At 40.0% G+C, this 23,716-nt stretch overlaps 2 protein-coding genes across 4 annotated transcripts in view, besides 2 other annotated features; both read right to left on the bottom strand.

Annotated features, from left to right (window-relative positions):
* SPDYA (speedy/RINGO cell cycle regulator family member A) overlaps window positions 1-4,875 on the bottom strand; it is a 39,777-nt gene extending 34,902 nt beyond the window's left edge. The window contains exons 1-2 of one of the 2 annotated variants that reach the window (NM_182756.4): window positions 4,762-4,875; window positions 1,023-1,096 (exon numbers count right to left, since the gene is read on the bottom strand). The gene's annotated coding sequence lies outside the window, so the exon portion shown is untranslated. The remainder of the gene's footprint in view (window positions 1-1,022; window positions 1,097-4,761) is intronic. The other variant, NM_001142634.2, reaches the window with a different exon arrangement.
* Window positions 4,845-5,094: a silencer, noted in NCBI's record as "silent region_11314". NCBI's record gives its function as "represses an Ori minimal core promoter by ATAC-STARR-seq in GM12878 lymphoblastoid cells {active_cell/tissue: GM12878}" and the evidence as "EXISTENCE:reporter gene assay evidence [ECO:0000049][PMID:35858748]".
* Window positions 5,125-5,274: a silencer, noted in NCBI's record as "silent region_11313". NCBI's record gives its function as "represses an Ori minimal core promoter by ATAC-STARR-seq in GM12878 lymphoblastoid cells {active_cell/tissue: GM12878}" and the evidence as "EXISTENCE:reporter gene assay evidence [ECO:0000049][PMID:35858748]".
* PPP1CB (protein phosphatase 1 catalytic subunit beta) overlaps window positions 12,769-23,716 on the bottom strand; it is a 51,337-nt gene continuing 40,389 nt past the window's right edge. For both annotated transcript variants that reach the window (NM_206876.2, NM_002709.3), the window contains 2 exons: window positions 21,712-21,846; window positions 12,769-16,510 (listed from right to left, as the gene is read on the bottom strand). In NM_206876.2, the coding sequence (NP_996759.1) occupies window positions 16,406-16,510; window positions 21,712-21,846 (240 nt within the window). In that variant the 3' untranslated portion in view covers window positions 12,769-16,405. The remainder of the gene's footprint in view (window positions 16,511-21,711; window positions 21,847-23,716) is intronic.

Below are 23,716 nucleotides of genomic sequence, written 5' to 3'. Positions count from 1 at the left end.
ATGATGCTGACTTCATAATTTATTTGTAGTCTTCTTTTTTCCGGCTAATTTTCTAATTTTTTCTATTCTGCTTGAATTGACATAATTTTATTATATTGTTGTTATATGCCACCTCAAATTTTTTATAAACAAGGACAACTATTTCCAGAATGTATTATCAAGTATTAAATTACAAAGCACCCCCCCTCCCACAAAACCCCATATCTCTTTATTGGTAAATTCCTTGATATATTATAAAATTCACTTATTCAATAAGCATTTATTGGTATTTATTGAAAAGTTGAAAGCAATTCTAGCAAAAAATGTAGATGTGCTTTGAAGGCTTTTCATAAATTGGTCTAATTTTTATTTTACTTACTTTTCTGTTTTCCTTTTTTTCTCGTGTGTGTGTGTGTGTGTGTGTGTGTGTGTGTGTGTGTGTGTGTTTCAGACAGGGTCTTGCTCTGTCACCCAGACTGGAGTACGTTGGCATGATTACGGCTCACTGCAGCCTCGACCTCCTGGACTCAAGTGATCCTCCTTCCTTAGCTTCCCTTGTAGTTGGGACCACAGGTGTATGCCACCACATCTGGCTTATTTTTTAAATTTTTGTAGAGATGAGGTCTCACTATGTTGCCCAGGCTGCTCTCAAACTGCTGAGCTTAAGCCATCCTCTCGCCTCAGCTTCCCAAAGTGTGGGAATTATGGGCTTGAGCCATCATGCCTGGCCTGTTCTAATTTTTAAAGTTGTAAGTGTATGACAAAGCTATTTGAGTGACTGATTATAAGTGTATATGAATGTATGTTGTCATAATCTAATAAAATCTGAGACAGTTAATCTATCAATATTTAACAATATACATAATCATCACCTTCTTTGGTGGTGATTAGTTCACATAATTACTACACTTAGTATTATTTTTGTGGTCAAATATTTCTAGGATAATGGGAAATTGAGGTATGAATAGGCAACACAGGAAACTACTCTAGGACCCTACTGAGAACCTCTGAATGCAACCTCACAGTGACTCAGGCAGCCATACCTTCCTTGGTGTTCAAGGAGTGAGGTACAGATTCCCCTTCCTGACCCTCAGAAATTTCCCTTCTGAAGGAAGGACTGGAAAATAAGATTGGATTTAGCGAGGTTAGAACAGCACTGTCCAATATAATGTAAGCCACATATGTAATTTTGTATTTTTAGAGCCACCTTACAAAACAAAACAGATAAAATTACTTTTAATAATAAAGTTTATGTAACCCAATATGTCCAAAAGGCCATTTTAACATGTAATCAATATAAAAATCAGTGAGATAGTTCACATTCTAAGTCTTTGAAATCTGCTGCGTATTTTCCTCTTACAGCATATCTCAATCTTTTTTTCTTTTTTTTGTTACTTTAGATGAATATGCTTATATACAAATCTGTTCTGATACTAATTTTTCAACAGTAAAAGTGAAATGCAGTCCTATTTTTAAAAATGAAGTAATTTGTAGGAGAAAAATATGCTCCTTCAGTTTTTAAAGTAAAAATTAAATTATTCAGTTTCAAGTGTTTAATAGACACAAGTGGCCAGTGGCTACCATATTAGATAGCACAGGGCTACATTTTGAAGAACTAGGCAGAGGAATATACTTATCTAATTGCTCCTCTCATCCCATCTTTCTTCCTAGATCCTAAAGTCCTGCCAAATTGAAGGCAATTATGTACTTGGGGTGCGGGTTATAAACTCCATAGAAAGAGGAGTAGGTGATAAATTGAGCCTTGAGACTTGAGTAAGAACGTTCTGCTCTTTCCTGCCCACCTCATCTGGGAGACAGCTGGAGGCCTCATCTGCATATTTTTTTCAAAGTAAGAGCAGCCTTAAATCTAGATAGAAGAGCCGGGCGCAGTGGCTCATGCCTGTAATCCCAGCACTTTGGGAGGCTGAGGTGGGCGGATCACCTGAGGTCAGGAGTTTGAGACCAGCCTGACCGACATGGTGAAACCCCGTCTCTACTAAAAATACAAAAATTAGCTGGGCATGGTGGCAGGCGCCTGTAGTCCCAGCTACTGGGGAGGCTGAGACAGGAGAATTGCTTGAACCCGGGAGGCGGAGGTTGCAGTGAGCCGAGATCATGCCACTGCACTCCAGCCTGGGCAACAGAGCAAGACTCCGTCTCAAAAAAAAAAAAAAAATCTAGATAGAAGAAACTAAAGAGTACTCAGGATTCTCAAATTCTAGTATGGAGTTATCAGTGGTATAGTACCGTGGCTAAGAATTCTGCTTCAAATTTGAGTGTTGGGGCTAGACTTGGGTGGAATGTACCAGAACACAAAATAACTGTGGCACATATTCCAGAAGATAAGTTTTACTCAATGCTAAGTAACCTAAAATAGTGCTTTTATATTAAAACAACCATGGATATATCATAAAATATAATGCAAATTTTCTATCAATCAAAAAGGTAAAATATATCCACAGTAGGCGTCTTTACACTATTCCTCTAAACCCTTATGTATGTGTTGGGATATTTCCCATACAATTTCAGAAAACTGAATGAGAAGAAAATGTCTGAAATTCCCCAAGTGGAGCTTCATTGTCTTTAATAAGCAAACACTGGCAGAAAAGGTACATACAACAAGCTGAAGGAGAGAAGCTATCAATGCTAGTCTTGGTCAATTTCTACCTAAGGGTATCTTTTAATTTTGCTCTTCACTTAGATATACTAAGAGAATGAGAGTTCTTATAGAGCAAGCAAGAGGAAAGGAACGAAAACCAAATTAAAAATATGAGCCATTTTAGGAACTGCAAGAGATAGGGAAAGAAGGAGAAGTAGGAGAAACTGTGCTCATCAGGTAAAATCCTTTAATTTTTTTTTTTTTTTTTTTTTTGAGACGGAGTTTCGCTCTTGTCGCCCAGGCTGGAGTGCAATGGCTCGATCTCGGCTCACTGCAACCTCCGCCTCCTGGGTTCAAGCGATTCTCCAGCCTCAGCCTCCTGAGTAGTTGGGATTACAGGAGCCTGCCACCACGCCCCGCTAATTTTCGTATTTTCAGTAGAGATGGGGTTTCGCCATGTTGGCCAGGCTGGTCTCCAACTCCTGACCTGAGGTGATCGGCCCGCCTCGGCCTCCCAAAGCGCTGGGATTACAGGCGTGAGACACCATGCTCGGCCTCCTTCAGTGAATTTTTATATGGACTCCATGAACATTAAAAAAATCATACCAGGATTCATACTTGAATAGGATGTTTGGGATTTTCTTTCTTTCTTTCTTTCTTTTTTTTTTGGTAAGTAAATCACAAAAATTCTAGAGGCATCTGAAATAACCTCTTCTCTGGGGGGTGATATAAAGGGTGGTGGTTCCCAGCCATAATATGAAACAAGCAGAAGTTGTCTGGGGATTCATTTGCCTATATGAAAAACCTAATAGCAATATCCATTGGCAACTCAGTCAGGACAGGCAAGTAAGCCTTAACTTCCTTATGAATGCAGTCACACACAGAGAATATGTGCCAGACACTGATGAATGTGTTACATGCATTATCTCATTTAATTCTCAAAACATCTCTGTGTGGTAGGTATTATTTTATCCTTATTTTCTAGATAAGAAATTTGAGGCTTAAAGAAGTTAAGAAATTTCCCAAAGGCTCATAGTAAGTGATAAAGCTAGAATTTGAATGCAGAACTGACATCAAAGTCCCATATTCTTTAACCAGTAAATCAGTTTTAAATATTAAATAAAATCATGTGTAAAACACTTGACACATAGTAAGCACTCCAGTATTACTTATCGTCACCTTGCCAAGAAAACAAAACCAGCTAACCCCAGCTATAAGGCGATCTCGGATCACTGCCACCTCTGCCTCCCGGGTTCAAGCGATTCTCCCGCCTCAGCCTCCCGAGGAGCTGGGATTACAGGCGCCCGCCACCATGCCAGGATACTTTTTTTTTAAGTTATTTTTTGTAGAGACGGGTTTTAGCTCACTGCAACCTCCGCTTCCAGGGTTCAAGCGATTCTCCCGCCTCAGCCTCCCAAGTAGCTGGGATTACAAGTGCGCACCACCATGCCCGGTTAATTTTTTTTTTCATTATTTTTTTGTAGAGACGGGGTTTTCGCTGTGGGCTGCTCTCGAATCCTGGCCTCAAGGATTCGCCCAACTCGGCATAAGGCTTTTTAAAAGATTGAGGCTAGGGGCCCTCCAGTCCTACTGGATGTCATGTAAGAGAATCTTCGTGAATTCTGAGAAATGAGCTACGGGCCTGGTACTGAGACACAGCAGCTCAGATCTCAAAATTCTGGGGCAGACGATCTTGGGGACAAAAAGAGGTGTTTAATGGGACATAAGGAGGTAGGATTTATCAAAAAGACCCCCCAAATCTCCATTCCTCCCACAATAAAGGCGGCAGGCACACGTGGAGACGGGAGCGCCTGCCCAGGGCCCTCCCTCCGAGCAGACGGCCGAGCTTCGGGAGCAGCCTCCGGTATCGGCCCTGCCCGTCCTTCCCCTGGAACCTTCACCCGCTACGCCGCCGGGCGGAGGGCGGCCAAAGCCCCAACCTGCGCGGCCACTGCCTCCCTCGCCAGGTCCCTCAGCCCAGAGCCCGCTGCGGGGAGCGCGTGTGTCGTCGCCGCGAAGGCAGCTGAGGGCGCCCACGGGAGGCGGCGTGAGGACGAGGCTGGAGCGCTGCCTTCTCATCTAAGGCGGGCGGTGGGGTCGCCGGCGAGCGAACCCAGGGACCGGGCACACTCGAAACTGGAGATTCGCCTGCGAGGCCCCTTCCCGGGGGCGAGCACAGGTACCTGCGGAAGCCCGGGGCTGCGCGGGAGAGGGCCGGGCAACGGCGGTCAAGGCTCCGTCGCAGCGCTCCTGGCCTCAGACGGTTGCTCGTCGGTCGCTAGCCAGCAGCGGTACCCGCTCTAAGGTCTCCCGCCAACCCGGAGCGAGGGAGCGCGAGGCCGGCAGGGGCCAATCAGCGCGCACAGCCGGCCGAGGGGGCGGGGCCTGCCTGGGAGTGCGCGCCGGCGAACCCCGCCCCTCCCTGCCCCCCGCCCGCCCGAGCCTCGGCCGCGGGCCTCCCTCCTCCGTTATCCCGCCTGCCCGCGCAAAACTCACACAACCCTCTTCATTCGACCTACCTCCCTTGGGCACGTCTCGCAGTCAGGCTTGCGTTGGGGCCGTTTACTTCCCTTCGATTAGACAACCAGGCCCCCGGGGCTGGGGCTGCGGCCTCCCCTCCCCGCCCGGCACACGCGGGCACAGCGTGGTTACCCTGGTTACTCAAAAGGAAGAGGCCGCTTGAACTGAGAAAAGCACAACGTGTGAATACGGTGGCTTCTTGTGAGAAGGGGCCATTCTATTGTAACTGTGAATCTGCAGCAGTAATCTTTTTGGCTTTGTCCTAGCCTTTGACTACGTGGGTGCTTAATACATGCATGTTGAATGAACAAATAAAAAGAATTCTAAACAGCTTTTTGATCCCATCCTTTCCTTATGTCCCTCCTAAGGTATAACCGGCTTTTTCTTTCTTTTTGAGACTGAGTCCCGCTCTGTCGCCCAGGCTGGAGCAGTGGCACGATCTCGGCTCACTGCATACCTCTGCCTCCCGGGTTCAAGCAGTTCTCCCGCCTCAGCCTCCTAAGTAGCTGGGACCACAGGTGCCGCCACGCCCGCCTAATTTTTAAACATGCCTTGTAGAGCAGAGTCCTATGTGGCCCAGGCTGGCCTTGAACTGAACTCAGGCAATCCTCCCACTGGGATTACAATCCTAAGCCACCACACCCAGTGTAAATCTTTTTTTTTTTTTTTTGGTCTCCATATCACGGCTTTTTTCATGTTGCTAGTCTTTCGAAACGTTTTCAATGACTGCATAATATTCCAGAGTGGATGGACCATTTAAGTCATTTCAATATTTGGATTGCTTCCAGATTTTTTGGCTAATACAATGATTACTCTTAAAAGGCAACCTGGCTCTGCCTACTTGTGGTACTTCCAGCAAATAGCTCCTCAATCAGCAGTTCTGAAGAACGAGTTAATTCCTTCCTTCTTGTGCTTCCACACACAGCACAATAATGACAAATTCACCTACAAGTACGAGGAGGGGGCCAACTGGGAACTTATTTTTCCTTACACATGCCCTTGACTCTTTCTCCCTGGCCTATAAATGGGAGAATGGGCCAAGAAGCATCAACTGGTTGTGAAAATCTTGAGGAAAATGGCTGCTTCAAGCTTCATTCCTCTAGCTTTTCCCTAAGGATCCTTCCTGACTTCTCTCTGCTCTTCCCCTTGTTTTTGCAAGGTACCGGTGTTGTGATGATTAATTTCCAGCCTCGAGTATAAAATATTTACTGAACAATTAATGTCCGCTACATGAAAAACACAGAGGCATGGCAAGTACCACAATGATGAAGACAACATGGCCTTACCTTTCTAGAGCTTCCAAGCTAGACAGATATGGACACAACTAAAATACAAGGCACAGTGAGTTGTGCCATGAAGGAAATGCAAGTGGCTGTATAACGCACAAAGTACAGTTATGAGAAGGTTCTTTAGGATCCCAAAATCTTTACAAAGGAAACATGTAAAATTTGCATATAAAAGCCAGCAAATACACATAAATATTCATTAAGCTATCAGGGAAGCAGCTTATTGCTTAAGTTTTGACTTCAAGTAAAGGGTTACTACCAACTAAGCCTTCTTGAGTGTTCTCATTCCTGAGTTTGTTTTGTTTTTTAAACTATGTTGGTGTGTGGAGAAAAGTGAATATACTTTAGAATCATATACACTTGGTTTGAATTCAGGTACTACCATTTTACTAGCTGTATGAACGTGGTCAAATCATTTAACCCTGGCACCTCTCATTAAATGTAAAAGTAGGGTGATACCACCTACTCTGTAAAAGCGTCTGGGGCGAATTTGATAGCGAGCAAACTAGCAGTGCACTGGTCCACAGTAGGTGTTGTTAGCTTCCTTCTTGCCTCTTTTCATTTGACCTGGGATTGGATGAGAACTCAAAACACTTAACTGAACAATTTATTCCTTTGTCTCTAGGCATGGCTTTTCCCCACTAAAAAAGCATTGATTGTCCATAACTTGATCATCTCCTGCACTGTGTCCTGCAGTGCCTCCAGGTTGTCCCCATTCTAATTTCCTAACTCTCCTTTCCTAAATGTATCTCCTATTATCCAGTAAGAATGAGAGAAACACTCATACTTGTTTTGAACTTTCCCACTTCTTTGACCTTGCATATTACTGTAGTGTGCTCTCTTCATCACTCTCATTTAAAATTTCTGTCTGGTATCCAGCCTTTGAGACCCAGCTTAAATTAATCAGCTCATCATCATTTGAGTGCTTAGTAAGTGCAGGCTGTGTGCCATGCTTGAATTCCTGTAGCATTTTCTGAAATTATCATTTATGTAATCTTATTAACCAGCTTTTTAAAATAAAAATGTTTGTGTATACAGATACAATTATATATGAATCGGATCATATACATACTTTAAAAATGTACAAAACAATACATGTAGCATATATGGAGGCTGAGACATAATAAAAACTTGTGAAGCCACCGCCTACCAAAACACATGAACCTAACATCCAAGAGACAGGACATCAACAATACTGTTGAGATTCTGTATGCTCCTCCTTCTCCCATTATGATCCCCAGGAGGCGACTGTTTCCCATTCTCTTTTCTTTGCGTATCCTAAAACACAAGTTTTATTTGTGAACTATTCAACCTCAGTATTCCTCATAGATTTAGCCATGCTAATGCATAACACTGTGAATCATTTTCATTGTTGCTTTCTGTTCTAGAAATATACCATAATATACCAATGCTCCTGTCAATGGGCATTTGGGTCATTTTTTTGGGCATTTGGATCCTTTTGCTACTGTGAATGCCATGGGGAACGCCTCTGCAAGGCCATATTGTTTACAGCTGGTTCAAGTTCCGATTAACTGGTGGTCTGATTGGTGAATGTCTACGACTTAAAATCAAGTATTTTGACTACTTTGCTTGTTAATGCACCATGGTGCACTTTTTCCATAAATGCTTTAAAGTGAAATTGATGGGTTGTAGGGCATGCACATGTTCAGTTTTAAAAGGTTATAAATGCTAAATTCATTTTCCAAGCAGTGTTACCAATTTTAAGAGTTCCCATTAGTTTACATCTTGTCAACTTATTTTCAGGTTTTCTGTGACTAGATGATTTTTTTTTTTTTTTTTTTTTGAGACGGAGTCTCGTTCTGTCACCCAGGCAGGAGTGCAGTGGCGCGATATCGGCTCACTGCAAGCCCCGCCTCCCGGGTTCACGCCATTCTACCTCAGCCTCCCGAGTAGCTGGGACTACAGGTGCCCGCCACCACACCCGGCTAATTTTTTGTATTTTTAGTAGAAACGAGGTTTCACCGTGTTAGTCAGGATGGTCTCCATCTCCTGACCTTGTGATCCGCCCGCCTCGGCCTCCCTAAGTGCTGGTATTACAGGCATGAGCCACCGTGCCCAGCCGACTTAACACAGAAGACAGCTCTGGATTTTCTTTTCAGCACCCTTTTCTAGTAAATGGTTCTACCTAACCTGCTAAACCACTTGAAAGCAGGGATAGTTGCTATGTTCATGCAATATCCCTTCCCTCTCTTACTTGATGGAGTTGTAAGGGTCTTTGAGACAAATTGGGCCAAATTTCTTTCGTGTAATTCTGCACTGAGACCACGTATTCAGCCTGGGTGACTGTTCTTTTAAGTTAAAGAGATTAAAAGCTCTGAGAAGTATCAAAAATAGAACAATTGGCCGGGCACGGTGGCTCATGCCTGTAATCTCAGCACACTTTGGGAGGCCGAAGTGGGTGGATCACCTGAGATCAGGTGAAACCCCGTCTCTACTAAAAATGCAAAAATTAGCCGGGCGCAGTGGCACGCTCCTGTTATCCCAGCTACTCGAGAGGCTGAGGTGGGAGACCTGCTTGGACCCAGGAGGTGGAGGCTGCAGTGAGCCAAGATGGCGCCACTGCACTCCAGCCTGGATGACAGAGCAAGACCCCGTCTCAGAAAACAAAACAAAAGCAACAACAAAAGAAATAGAACAATCATTCTAACAACATAACTGTATTAAATTTCTGTCTAGAATAGTTTTCTCCACTGTATCAGACTTTTTTGTTCCTTACTGAAAAGATAGTTGATCTTTCTCCATACTGCCTATGACATACTTGTGCTAGATGAGGCAACAGCCTCTCCAAGTTCGATTCCTAGTTTTAAGTGCTCATACTTACTGGATGAATTCTGAAAGACAAAATATTACACAAATTATACAACTTTCCTAAAATATGTGAGGTGGCTCACTACAAAGGTGACATTAAGATCAAGAAAACAGAATAGAGACTATAGAAAGGGGAGGAAAGAAAGTAATCCTGAGGATCTTGCGATGTTTGTTCTCAGTAACAGGCAACTTCTCCACTATGCCTGTCAGGTGCTAGCTGCAAAATGCTCCTTCAAGAAACTCAGCCTCCCGAGTAGCTGGGATTACAGGTGTGTGCCACCAGGCCTGGCTAATTTTTGTACTTTTAGTAGAGACAGGGTTTTCCCATGTTGGCCAGGCTGGTCTCGAACTCCTGATCTCAAGTGACCTGCCAGCCTTGGCCTCCCAAACTGCTGGGATTACAGGCGTGAGCCACCGTGCCTGGCTGACTTCTTAAACTTACCAATAGTTTACAAAGTAGGGGCCAGAGTTTTGACAAACCATTTATTTTGGCAGTACAGACTCAAATCAATTTTCTCCTTGAAACTTCAGCATTCTTGTCATAAGAGACAAAAGCAGTTACATGAGGATAAAGAAAAACTGGAATTTTATTATTTGTGGTTAACTTCTTCAGGTCAAGGTGTCAAAACAGTAATACAAGTAGAGATTTTTGACACCCACTTGCCATTCATTAAGCAAGTATCTGCAGGCCTCCTATGTGGCAGGCGCCACTCTACGATAAGGAGATACGAATCAGTGAACAAAAGAGAAAAAAAATACCTGCATGGGCGCAATGGCTCATGCCTGTAATCCCAACACTTTGCGAGGCTGAGGTGGGCGGATCACTTGAGCTCAGGAGTTGGAGACCATCCTAGGGAACATGGTAAAACCCCCCACTCTACAAAAATTAGCAGGTATGGTGGCACATGCCTGTAGTCCCACCTACTACGCAGGCTAAGGTGGAAGGATGGCTTGAGCCCAGGAGGTTGCAGTGAGCTGAGATTGTGCCACTGTGCTCCAGCCTGGGCACCATAGCAAGACCCTGTCTCAAAAAAAAAAAAACAAAAAACCCTGCCCATAGAGCTACATTCTAGTCACATACAAGACTGATCTAGGCCTTATGACTTTTAAAGACAAATGTAACAAAGTTTTTTTTTTTTTTTTGAGACGGAGTTTCCCTTGTTGCCCAGGCTGGAGTGCAATGGTGCCATCTTGGATCACTGCAATCTCCACCTCCCAGGTTCAAGTGATTCTCCTGCCCCAGCCTCCCGAGGAGCTGGGACTACAGGTGCGCACCACATCTAGCTAATTTTTGTATTTTTTTTTTAGTAGAGACGGGGTTTCACCATGTTGGCCAGGATGGTTTCGATCTCTTAACCTCGTGATCGGCCCGCCTCGGCCTCCCAAAGTGCTGGGATTACAGGCATGAGCCACCGCGCCTGGCCGACAAATACAACAAAGTTTTAAAGGAGCATTCAACATCCTAATGGATCTGTATAAGAAATAATTGATGATATATTAAAAATAAAATGGGCTGGGCATGATGGCTCATGCCTATAATTCTCCCAGCACTTTGGGAGGCCAAGGCGGCAGGATCACTTGAGCCTGGGAGGCTGAGGCTTCAGTGAGCTGTGATCAGGCTACTGCACTCCAGCCTGGGCGAGAGAGTGAGACCCTGTCTCAAAAAAAAAAAAAAAAAAGGGATTACAACTTGTGTTGTCAGTGAGCATACCCAGAGTTTGGGGAATTCACTAAAAGAAGATTAGGGTCTTCCACTCAAAACAGGCTTTACAGTACAGCAATAAAGACTTTTTAACCTGTTCTTTAATATGACCAATAGAATTAATTTCAGTGGAATTATCAAGCTGCAGTTAAGAGATGTGCTACAAAATCTGAGGCAATTACACTGGGAGGCAGAGATCTGTGTTTCTAAAATTTTTTTTTTTTTTTTTTTGAGATGGAGTCTCGCTCTGTCGCCCAGGCTGGAGTGCAGTGGCGTGATCTCAGCTCACTGCAAGCTCCACCTCCCGGATTCACGCCATTCTCCTGCCTCAGCCTCCCAAGTAGCTGGGACTACAGGCGCCCGCCACCACGCCCAGCTAATTTTTTATGTTTTTAGTAGAGACAGGGTTTCACCATGTTCGCCAGGATGGTCTCGATCTCCTGACATCATGATCTGCCTGCCTCAGCCTCCCAAAGTGCTGGGATTACAGGCATGAGCCGCTGCGCCCGGCTAAAATTTCTTATTGAAGTCAGGTAACAGTTTTATGTGCTGGGCCCAGTTATATGTTGGATCCTGAGCCTCACCCAAGATTTCCTGATAATCTCAATTCCTTATTACATGTGATAAACTACATTTCCTAATATGTAGCTTAATTTTTAAGTTGGTAAATTGAGTAGTTATGAGTTCTACAAGACATTAAGTTTTCTCCAGCAACTCCACCCTGCACATCCTCCTTCTCAGGGATTTTTATTAAACTAAGAGCTAGAGAGACAAAGTTTATATTTATTCAAGAATGGAACAGGTGTCAGTCTGTCAATAACCTGCTGGTAAACAGCAGCACTGTCAGAAACCATGCCAATTATCAGTTTGAGTTATACATATATTGGAGGTAGCATTTCAACACTCTGGTTTTGTTTCTTTGGCTTTTTTTTTTTCCAAAAAATATACTAGGAGATTTAAGACTTACTTCAGATTAAACTTGTTACATTAAGAAAACACTCTTGGCCGGGAGAGGTGGCTCACGCCTGTAATCCCAGCACTTTGGGAGGCCGAGGCAGGCAGATCATGAGGTCAGGAATTAGAGACCAGCCTGGCCAACATGGTGAAACCCCGTCTCTACTAAAAATACAAAAATTAGCTGGGTGTGGTGGCAGGCTCCTGTAATCCCAACTACTCAGGAGGCTGAGGCTGGAGAATCGCTTGAACCTGGGAGGTGGAGGTTGCAGTGAGCCAAGATCATGCCATTGCACTCCAGCCTGGGAGACAAGAGCAAGACTCTCTCTCAAAAAAAAAAAAAAGAAAAAAAGAAAAAAAGAAACTCCTCTGGACTACTTTTTTCTGTTGCACTGTATTACTTGCCTTTGTGGTTTTGTCGAGAATCAGTGTTTACATGATAGACCATAAATTACTGTGCCTTTTAATAAATTTGTACAATAATCTATGAAAGTTCTAGATGTTTAGCTGTGATGTCACTGGTTTTGTAGGAAAAATTTGGCCTGTAAATCTGCTGAATCATTCTGATTAGGCAGCTGTAAAAATTAATACATATTTTAACTTGCCGATCCTATGCCAGGCTTCACTGAAAAGCCTCCAGGAACAGACCTTAGGTTCCCACCTTTTTGCATATAGTATCTGAAAGGAATGCTGAACCTATTAGCCTCAGGCCGTTAGTTTGTTCTCTCTTACACACACACACACACACACACACACACACAAACCCTCCCCACCCGCACCCCCTGTTCACTTGCTATCTTCCACCCTGTATACCCCAAACAATGTGGTGTTGTAAGTAAGATTTCATAATCACATAAACTAGCAAAGATCCCTAAGAGGAAAGAAGCAAAGATTTATGGTCATTTTTGTAAAAATAAGGTTTAATAAAACATCAGCAATCTGCATGAGAAGGTAAATTACAATGAGAAACTTAAAAAGCTTACGGTCTAAGTCAACCAATGTAGAAGGTAGTGGTTGAAGAAAACAAGCTTTGACTTTTAAAATTTCCTAACCAGGGGATTTATTTAGAAATTCTGGCATTCAAATGTACATGTAAAATCCAATTTAACAGATCAAAATTGTTACACTAAGTTTCACTTAGTATCTAAGTATCCAATCACAATTGTATCTAAGTTTCACTTTTAAGAAACATTATAAAGGTAATTAAAACTCTAGGTGTATACTTATATGGAACTAGTTTATTTCCTATTTAACTACTGTTCATTGCGTAAAGTATGTTGTCCCAATTTTCAGCTGTTTTAAGGAATTATAAAACATTGAGATCTACTAGGAAGAGGGAAAGCCTACTTCTAAGTGATGCCACTAGTACAATCAGGCTTGGATTAAGTCTCTTCTCAGGGGCAGCTTTGATTTAGCCATGGACTCACAAGGAAAACAAGAGGTGGATTTGGTTAGGGAGCAACAGCAAATTCAGCCCGACCATATTCCTAATCTAAACACATTTTCAGCATAAAGATGTAAAAACAATTTTTTTTGGTTCAAAAGTTATGGTTGCCATGGAGACAAAAAGAATATACCTGAATTTATAAACTGAGATATATTTCAGCTCCTTGGCTTAAAATAATACATCTTTATATTCTTGAGACATATCTCAAGATGTTCCTTGCTTTGCCTTGAATAAAAATTTTTTTGAAAAGCCTATGTTTCTCGTGAACACACTCATACTTCAAATTTACCACCTATTTTAAGCTTTAAAATTCTTCTTGCCAGCATTTTTCAGCTAAAAAAAATCATTTCACGAATGTTTAGGTACTTTTTACAATGAAGGGATATGGCAGCATGGATACTGGGTAGCTGGCTAGGCTCTAAATACCTGATGACTCAACGCTTTGCACAAACCAGTCTTGCTGATTATTAAAATTTGTCCCTGGGCAAAATTAAAGCAATGCATGTTAAGGCTTCAAATGCAAAGGATTCACTGTAGTTGATTCTTTCAAGAATAGAAATCGACCATAACTTTGCTTTATAATCCATGTGATACACCACATTATAACAGATATCTACTGTGTTTCATGATTTCTGAATGTCATAACATTTGGATTAAATTGTATACAAAAAAATCACTAACCTGAAAAAAATCAGAGGAAAGAACAATATAAATTAGTGACACTGGAATTACAGAATCATTTTCTCCTAAGAAACAAAGTTTTATTTATTTCAAGTCGTGTTGCCAAGCAAATATTTGTAAAGAACACATTTTTATGACTGGAGGCTGTTTAAGTGGTTTTAAGAGTGCTTGAATAATTTTTAAACATGATAAATTTCCATCCTTTAAATTTAATGACCAATATTAATTAGCTTAAGTAGTGATTATTTTTTCACATTTAGTCTTTAAAAAAAAAAAAAAGGATTCCTATTAACCAACATACTTAGTCTTGACCTGGATGAATTTACAAAAGCCAGACAATGGGATACAGATTAATGTGGTTTAATACTGAGATTAATCAACATTGCCCTTTTTCCCTGCCAAAGGCTTATTTTCTAGACCTGCTTCACTATGACTACTAAAAGTGTACAACTAAAATTTTATTAGAAATCGCTCAGCTTACACACTCCAATCAGGAAGTTATTTAAATCACCTCAGATAAAACCTTTGTGACCTAACCTAATACATCATATGCAGATCATGAATACTTTCAGAAAAGAATCATTTCAATATGTCAAGGACATAGTATCTATGTGAATAAAATGTGTGCTTAAATGTCTCACTGTAAGGAAAAAAAAAATCAGTCAGGCTTCATATCAATTAGACAACTTTTACTAAATGAGAAAACTACATTTAAAATGTGCTTTAAAACAAAACGGAATTAGAAAAAAAGACATATGCATTTTAAAGAACTTTTGCACTGTGCTGAAAATGAAATATCTCTTGCAGTAAGTAATACAATGTGCCAATTCATAAAATGTAAGTTAACAGGTTTCTCAATTTAACATTTTCAAAGACGATATTAAGGTCAAAAATGTCACATCTATGGTAGCACATATAGAAGGGCATTATAGATATGATGTCCATCCCTATGAAGCTTACAAATTTGACAATGCTCAATAAAAGCTTTTAGAATCACATCCAATAGTGTCACAGTCAAAGAATCACAAATCTGTGTCCTGTAAGTTCTCTCCTTCTAAAATCTTCATGTTAACTTTTCTACTCATTGCCATTTGTTAATACTAACCCTTAAAAAAAAGAAATAGGAAAAGAAAGGCTGCAATAAACTTGATCAGGTACAGAAATTATTGCTACTATACTTCACTACAAAGCTTGTCTATACAGTATCATATGACCTTTGATTATGAAAAAATCAGAATAAAAATCTTTAGTGACATAAGCCTTACAATCGTATACAACATTCACATGGCAATATTAGACAGTTAAGCACCCAATACCCATAGTTGACAAAATGTCCCACTGACCAGCATTCATTTAAATACATCCTTCGTATAGAGGGAGGAAAAAGAGACAGTGTCAGCTTTCCAAGGCTTGTCAAAAAAGGATTCTCATGTACTGTGGATCTAAAAACAAACAACAACTCAAAAAAAAAAAAAAAAAAAAAAAGAAAGAAAAAAGAAAAAGAAAACCAATGCAGGTGAAGGTGTTACCAGGAAGTTAAGCATGCCAAAAGGTGTTCCGTGCGAATGAAAACCTAAAGCCAAGGTACCACATAATCACATTACCAACTAGTTGGGTAATACTATATGAGCCTTATCTTAAATGAAATGCTACTGCACAATAGAGCATCAATAAGTTAAAAATTAGAGTGCACAAATCCAAATCAGTGTCAATTCCTGTATAAAGCAAAATATTCACTATCAGCTGTAAAGTTTGCCCAGTCAAACTGTATGATTAAAATCACTGGATTGGACAATGTGCGTATTTTTTTTTAAAACAATCAATCTCTAAAATTCCTTTTTAATGTAATGAGGCGAAAGTTTTCTTAGTAAGATTAAACAGATATCTAAGTAGATAAACAAGGGAAAATAATAGTTGGTGAATGTCTGTAAAGCTCTTCCCATATTTCACTTTTAAAAATGTTTAGGGAAAAAAATTAGAAGTATTTGCCATTATTCTAGTGAAAACAAACAAAAACAAAACAAGCTCAAAATAATTAAACAACCAAGCAACACTAAAACCACATTACACAGATGGATCATCATGCTTTCATCTGGTTTAACTATCACATCTAGTTTAACTGGGATGCTTTTCAACTTTAAAAATTGTGATACATGAAGATGTAACTTTAATGGATAATTTTGAATTTGGATTTAACTTTGTTGACTATAACAGAGTATACTTATTACAATACAGTGTAGCACATCTTTCTATTAGAAAAAAATTTAAGATCCTTTACCCGTCTCCTTAAGTTAAAGGTGTGACATCATAAAGGGTGTCAAATGGCTGGATGGTTTTACAGTGCACACTTATATATTATGAAGTATGTCCTTAACAAATCTGATGGTTTCTTTACAGAATTCCTTTCTTCACCTTTTCTTCGGCGGATTAGCTGTTCGAGGTGGAGTGACAGGACGTCCAGAATTCAGTCCACCATACTGGTATTTAGCTTTCTTTTCAGATGGTTTCAATATCTTAAAGTAAATTATTAACAAATAATGTTATTTTTTCATGTACAGAAGTTAAGAAAATTGTTACAATTGTGATTTTCAATAAATGGCATAAACTGCAAAAATGCAATAAAAATGTAGAATAGCAAAGTTCCATAAACATTTCTTAAAGTGTGCAAATGTCTGAACTTTGTCATTCCACTCATATTTTAATAACAAAAGTACACTAACTCTATCAACTATCCAATCCTTAGATTTAAGTAAAAAACTTTTTGAACTTAGTGTATCTCTGTTGTGAGGAAAAGAACACTGGTTTAAGAGTCAGAAGATCTATGTTGTCATCATAATTCTGATACAGTAACTTAGGAGGGTAACTAACCTACAAGTCACAAACCCTTCAGACCTTATTTATTTATGTATAAATAGATCTTTTTACTTAAAAAACAGCTTTATTGATATAAATCTAATTTTAGAACATTTGTCACCCCAAAAAGAAAGCTTGTTCCCATCAGCAGTCACTCCCCATTCCTGCTCTCCACATCCTCTAACTCTAACCAACTACTAATCTACTATGTGTCTCTATAGAATTGCCTATTCTGAACATTTCATATAACTGGCATCATATAATATGTGGTCTTTTGTGACTGGCTTCTTTCACTCAGGTTTTCAAAACCAGTTTTGAAGTATCAGTCCTTCATTCCTTTTTATTGCTGAGTTGTACATTGTACAGTCCATTGTATGGATGTACCACAGTTTATCTATTCAGTAGCTGATGGACATCTGAATTGTGTGACTTTTTCGGCTATAAGGAATAATGCACATTTATGTAACAGTTTTTGTGTGAACATGTTTTCATATATCTTGGGTATATACCTAGAGGTAAAACTGCTGCATCATATGAGAACTCTATTCCCACCATTAATGTATGAAGATTCTAATGCCTCCAAATCCTTGCCAAAACTTGATACAGTCTGGCTTTTTTACTACACTCATTCTGGTGGATGTAAATAGAGCTTTAACCTACATTATACATAAAAAAGTCATGATTTTCCAAAACTAAAACAGTATAGAAATATGTACAAAGTATTTTTTAAAAACTATTTAGAACATAATAGTGCCTTAGTGAAGAGAATATATTAATCCAACACCACTATGACAACTGCTGGAAGGATAAGGTATGGTTACTATATTTAATTTGTAAATGAGCAATCAACCATTTACCATTCAATTGTACTAATTGATGGAAACAGTATATTATGATAAAGAGAAAGAGGAATGGGAAAGCCCCAATGCATTTTAAGAGAAATACAGTGTGTGTACATCAAAGACATAGAATAGCCTTTGCAAAAGCAAAGTACTGAAGCTGTTTTACTCAGTGAACAAGAATGATTTGTAGGAGCACACTAAAGCTAAAACTGGCCTCTTTTAAAAATGTAAATGTTGAAACCAAAAGTTGGTTCTTCAAAAGAATAAACAAGATAGACTGCTAGCTAGATTAAGAAAAGATCCAAATAAGCACAATCTGAAATGAGAAAGGTGACATTACAACCAACCCCACAGACATACAAAATACCTAGAGATTATAAACACCTGTGCACACAAACTAGGAAACCTAGAATAAATGAATACATTCACAAAAACACACATGCGCTCCCAAGAAATGAATTCATAGAAACACACATGACCTCCTAAGAAATGAATAAATTCATAGAAACACACACAAACTCCGAAGACTGAACCAGGAGGAAATTAAAATCCTGAACAGAACAATAACAAGTTCCAAAACTGAATCAGTAATAAAAAAACCTATAAACCAAAAAAAGCCCTGGCCCAGAAAGATTCACAGCTGAATTATATCAGATGTACAAAGAGCTAGTACCAATCCTACTGAAACTATTCCAAACAATCCAGGAAGAGGACCTCCCCCCTAACTCAGTCTACGAAGTGAGCATCATTGTAATACCAAAACCTAGCAGAGGCACAAGGAAAAAAGAAAACCTCAGGCCAATATCCCTGATGAACACAGATGCAAAATCGTCAACAAAATACTAAAACCGAATCCAGCAACACATCAAAAAGTTAACTCACCACAATCAAGAAGGGTTTATTCCTGGGGTGCAAGGTTTCAACATATGCAAATCAATAAATGTGATTCACCTCATAAAATTAAAAACAAACACCATATGATCATCTCAATAGATGCAGAAAGGCTTTCAATACAATTCAACACCCTTTCATGTTAAAAACCCTCAACAAATTAGGCACTGAAAAATTAGGAACATACCTCAAAATAGTAAGAGCCATCTGACAAACCCACAGCCAACATCGTACTGAAAAGGGAAATGCTGGAAGCATTCCCCTTGAGAACTGGAACAAGAGACTAGGATGACCATTCTCACCACCCCTATTCAACAGAGTACTGAAAGTCCCTGCCAGAGTAATCAGGCAAGATAAAGAAATAAAAGGCATCCAAATAAGAAGAGAGGAAGATAAACAATCTTTACTGACGATAATGATTCTATACACAGAAAACCCCATAGACTCCGCCAAAACGTGCCTGGAACTGATGAACAACTTTGTTAATCAGTTTCAGGATACAAAATCAATGTATAAAAACCAGTAGCATTTCTATACATCAAAAACATCCAAGCTGAGAGCCAAATCAAGAACTGCATTTACAATAGCCACAAAAAGAATATCAAGGAATACAGCTAACCAGGGAGGTGAAAGATCTCTACAACTACAAAGCACTGCTGAAAGAAATCAGAGGTGATGCAAACAAATGGAAAAACATTCCATGCTCATGGATAGAAGAATCAATATTGTTAAAATCTCCATACTGCCCAAAGTAGTTTACAGATTCAATGCTCTTCTTATCAAACTACCAATGTCATTTTTCACAGCATTAGAAAAGAACTTTTCTAAAATTCATATGAAATTGAAAAAGAGCCCGAATAGCCAAAGCATCCTAAGCAAAAAGAACAAAGCCAGAAGCGTCACACTACCAAACTTCAAGGTACATTATAAGGCTTACAGTAACCAAAACAGCATGGTACTGGTACCAAAACAGACATATAAACCAATGGAACAGGATGGAGGAGCCAGAAATAAAGCTGTACTCCTGCAACCATCTGATCTTGAACAAAGTCAACAATAACAAGCAATGGAGAAGAGACTGCCTATTTGATAAATGGTGCTAAGATAACTGGCTAGCCATATGCAGAAGACTGAAACTGGACCCCTTTCACCATACACAAAAATTAACTCAAGATGGATTAAAGATTTAAATATAAGACCTCACACTATAAAAACCCTAGAAGAAAACCTAGGAAATACCATTCTGGACACTGTCCTTGGGAAATAATTTATGACCAAGTCCCCAAAAGCAACTGCAACCAAAACAATGATTGACAAGTGGGACCAAAATAAACTAAAGAGCTTCTGCACAGCAAAATAAACTATCAACAGAATAAACAGACAACCTATAGAATGAGAGAAAATACAAACTATGCATCCAACAAAGGTCTAATATCCAGACTCTATAAGGCATTTAATTCAACAATCAAAAAACAACCCCATTAAAAATGGGCAAAGGACATGAACAGACACTTCTCAAAAAACAAACGTGCAGCCAACAAATATATGAAAAAATGCTCATCATCACTATTAATGTAAATCAAACCACAAGATACTGTCTCACACCAGTCAGAATGGCCATTAATAAAAAGTTAAAAGATAATAGATGTCAGCAAGGTTGTGGAGAAAAAGGAATGTTCAAACATTGCTGGTGGGAGTGTAAATTAGTTCAGCCACCGTGGAAAGCAGTGTGTAGATTTCTCAAAGAACTTAAAACAACCACCATTCGACCCAGCAATCCCACTACTTTGGGTATGTACAAAAAAAGACAAGCACTTGTATGTTAATCACAGCACTATTCACAATAGCAAAGACATGTAATCAACCTAGATGTCCATCAACAGTGAACTGGATAAAGAAAATGTGGTACATATACACCATGGAATACTATGCGACCATAAAATTAAGGAAGGAAATCAGGTCCTTTGCAGCAACATGGATGCAGCTGGAGGCCTTTATCCTAAGCCAATTAATGCAGGAAGAGAAAATCAAATACCACATATTCTCACTCATAAGCAGGAGCTAAACACTGGGTAAACATGGACATAAAGATGGCAACAATAGACACTGGGGACTACTAGAGTGGAAAGGGTGAGGGGGAATGTGAAATGAAAAACTCTATGCTCACTACCTGGGAGATAAGATCATTCATACACCAAACCTCAGCAATATGTAATTTACACATGGAACAAACCTGCACATGTAACCCCTGAACCTAGTACGTACATAAATTAATAAAAATATTATAATAAAAGTGAGCAAACAACCCCCCGTACATGGTATACAATGTGCTTCCTCAAAAGAAAAAAATAAATAAATAAATGTTCCTGTGACATAAACGGGTAGTTTAGTATTATTTTGAAAGTTTTTTTTCCTCAGGAAACTATTTTTTTTTGGGGGCCAAGTCTCGCTCTGTCGCCCAGGCTAGCGTGCAGTGGTGCAATCTCGGCTCACTGCAACCTCTGCCTCCCGGGTTCACGACATTCTCCTGCCTCAGCCTCCCAAGTAGCTGGGACTATAGGTGCATGCTACCACGCCCGGCTAATTTTTTTGTATTTTTAGTAGAGATGGGGTTTCACAGTGTTAGCCAGGACGGTCTTGATCACCTGACCTCATGATCCGCCCACCTCAGCCTCCCGAAGTGCTGGGATTACAGGAGTGAGCCACCGTGCCCAGCCAGGGAACTATTTTACTTTATTTTCATCTGAGTTTGTAATTCTTTTCCCAGTGTCTGTTCCACCCATTTACTTTGCAAAAGAAAACAAAAGCCTAAACTATTCATTACATTCACATTCTTTTAGTAAGCCACTATTCAAAAGGTCATAGAGGAATTTTAACAATTAAAACATCTGAATCAAGAATGACTGACGTAACTTAGGTTCCCTAAAACGGTCATATTTGATATATACCACAAATGCTGGAAACTTTGTGACTGAAAATAGAAATATCTAATGAGTTTGAGTGGTAATCACTTCTGAATTAAACAGACTTTCAACACTTGCTCAAGGAAACTTCACAAATCTAAAACGAATTCTGATAATAGTTTTTATTAGATTTCTAGTTCTTATATATTTATGTTTACATCATACCTGAAATGAACACATCAAAGTTTCATCCACACTCATCATTCCACCAGCATTATCAAACTCGCCACAGTAATTTGGGGCTGAAAATAAGGTTACCAACTGTCGTTTAGCAAAAAATTCATATCCATCTTCCACCACCTGTCAAAGGAAATGTCAGAAGAAAAAACATTTATTGGTGGGTAATTCTGAACCATCTATACTAATTAAGGTTAAGGTGGCAAAGACTGTGCCCCACCTCACCCCCAAACCACCCTGTTTTGTTTTGGAAGTTGTGATTTTTATTCTTAAACTTTGCTTAGAACATTAAAACTGGTGTGCCTTTTCTATAATGGAAACAATTTAGCTTAATTGGAATAATAAATTCACCACTCCTGAAAGCTTAAAAATCATGCCATTTGCAAGGCTCCCCATGAAACAAAACATACTAATAGGCATCATGACTACAGGGAGCTGGGACACTAAGTACTTTTTTTGTTTTTAAGTTTTAAATTTAATTTTATTTTAATTAATCTACGTGTTTTTCAGAGGGACATCAATTATTACTTTGATGAGGGCATTATAATCCAACTACAGAATCCTTAATTAAATGAGCAACAACCAGACAATGAACGACTTTGCGAAGAGCTTACTTCTTGCTTTGATTTTAAAATATGTATTATTATTACATGGCTACACACTGAAAACACTACTGGCTACACACTGAAAACATTACTAAGTTGAGTTTAATTTACATGGATCATGCTCCTTAAATTAACTGCCAACAGACTGTATTTTTATTTTTATTTTTTATTTTTTGAGATGGAATATTGCTCTGTCAACCCAGGCTGGAGTGCAGTGGCATGATCTCGGCTCACTACAACCTCTGCCTCCCAGATCAAGCCATTCTCCTGCCTCAGCCTCCCAAATAGCTGGGACTACACGCACCCACCAGCAAGCCCGATGAATTTTTGTATTTTTAGTAGAGATGAGGTTTTGTCATGTTGGCCAGGCTGATCTCAAACTCCTGACCTCAGGTCATCTGCCCGCCTCGGCCTCCCAAAGTGCTGGGATTACAGGCGTGAGCCACCGTGCCTGGCCTTGATGAGTTAACATTTCTAGAACCAGTTGTCAATTTCTGAGTAATTTAAACAATTTTTCTCTCAGTCTACAAATTTGAGGAACACAATAATATGTAAATATTTTATATTTATTTACGGTGGGCAAGATTACTTTTAAATTTATTTTAGGTATCTTTTAATTAGCAAAATTATCCGACACCACTTGCTAATATAAAAAAGCAATTACGAAGGCATTTACTTATTAAAATAACTCCTACCTCAGTACTAGGAACATGCTTCTGCTGAAATTACCTTATGGTACAATTTAGATGAACCTTTTCTCCTAAGACCATAGCCACCTTATCTAATCCCTGTGACCCCTGCTCCACATAGCAAATGGCACTCATGTTTTTAGTTGTTTCTCTGTGTATGTGCTTGTGTGGAGACAGGGTCTCGCTCTGCTGCCTAGGCTGGAGTGTAGTGGTGCAATCTTGGCTTACTGCAGTCACAACTTCCTGGGGCTCAAGAGATCTTCCCACCTCAGCCTCCTGAGTAGCTGAGACCACAGGTGTGTGCCACCATGCCTGGCTAATTTTTTTGTATTTCTTTTCTTTTTTTTTTTCGAGATGGAGTTTTGCTCTTGTTGCCCAGGCTGGAGTGCAACGGCGCGATCTCGGCTCACGGCAACCTCTGCCTCCCAGGTTCAAGCGATTCTCCTGCCTCAGCCTCCCATGTAGCTGGGATTACAGGCATGTGCCACCGTGCCCAGCTAATTTTATATTTTTAGTAGAGATGGGGTTTCTCCATGTTTTTCAGGCTGGCCTCGAACTCCTGACCTCAGGTGATCCACTCGCCTCAGCCTCCCAAAATGCTGGGACTTCAGGCGTGAGCCACGGTGCCCAGCCAGTTTTTTGTATTTTTTTGTAGAGACAGGGTTTCGTGTTTCACTGTGTTGCCCAGGCTGGTCATGG

Source organism: Homo sapiens, chromosome 2, assembly GCF_000001405.40.
Source record: "Homo sapiens chromosome 2, GRCh38.p14 Primary Assembly".
Classification (NCBI taxonomy): Eukaryota; Metazoa; Chordata; class Mammalia; order Primates; family Hominidae; genus Homo; species Homo sapiens.
The sequence above is the reverse complement of the archived record's forward strand: the minus strand, read 5'-3'. Positions and strand labels throughout refer to the sequence as shown.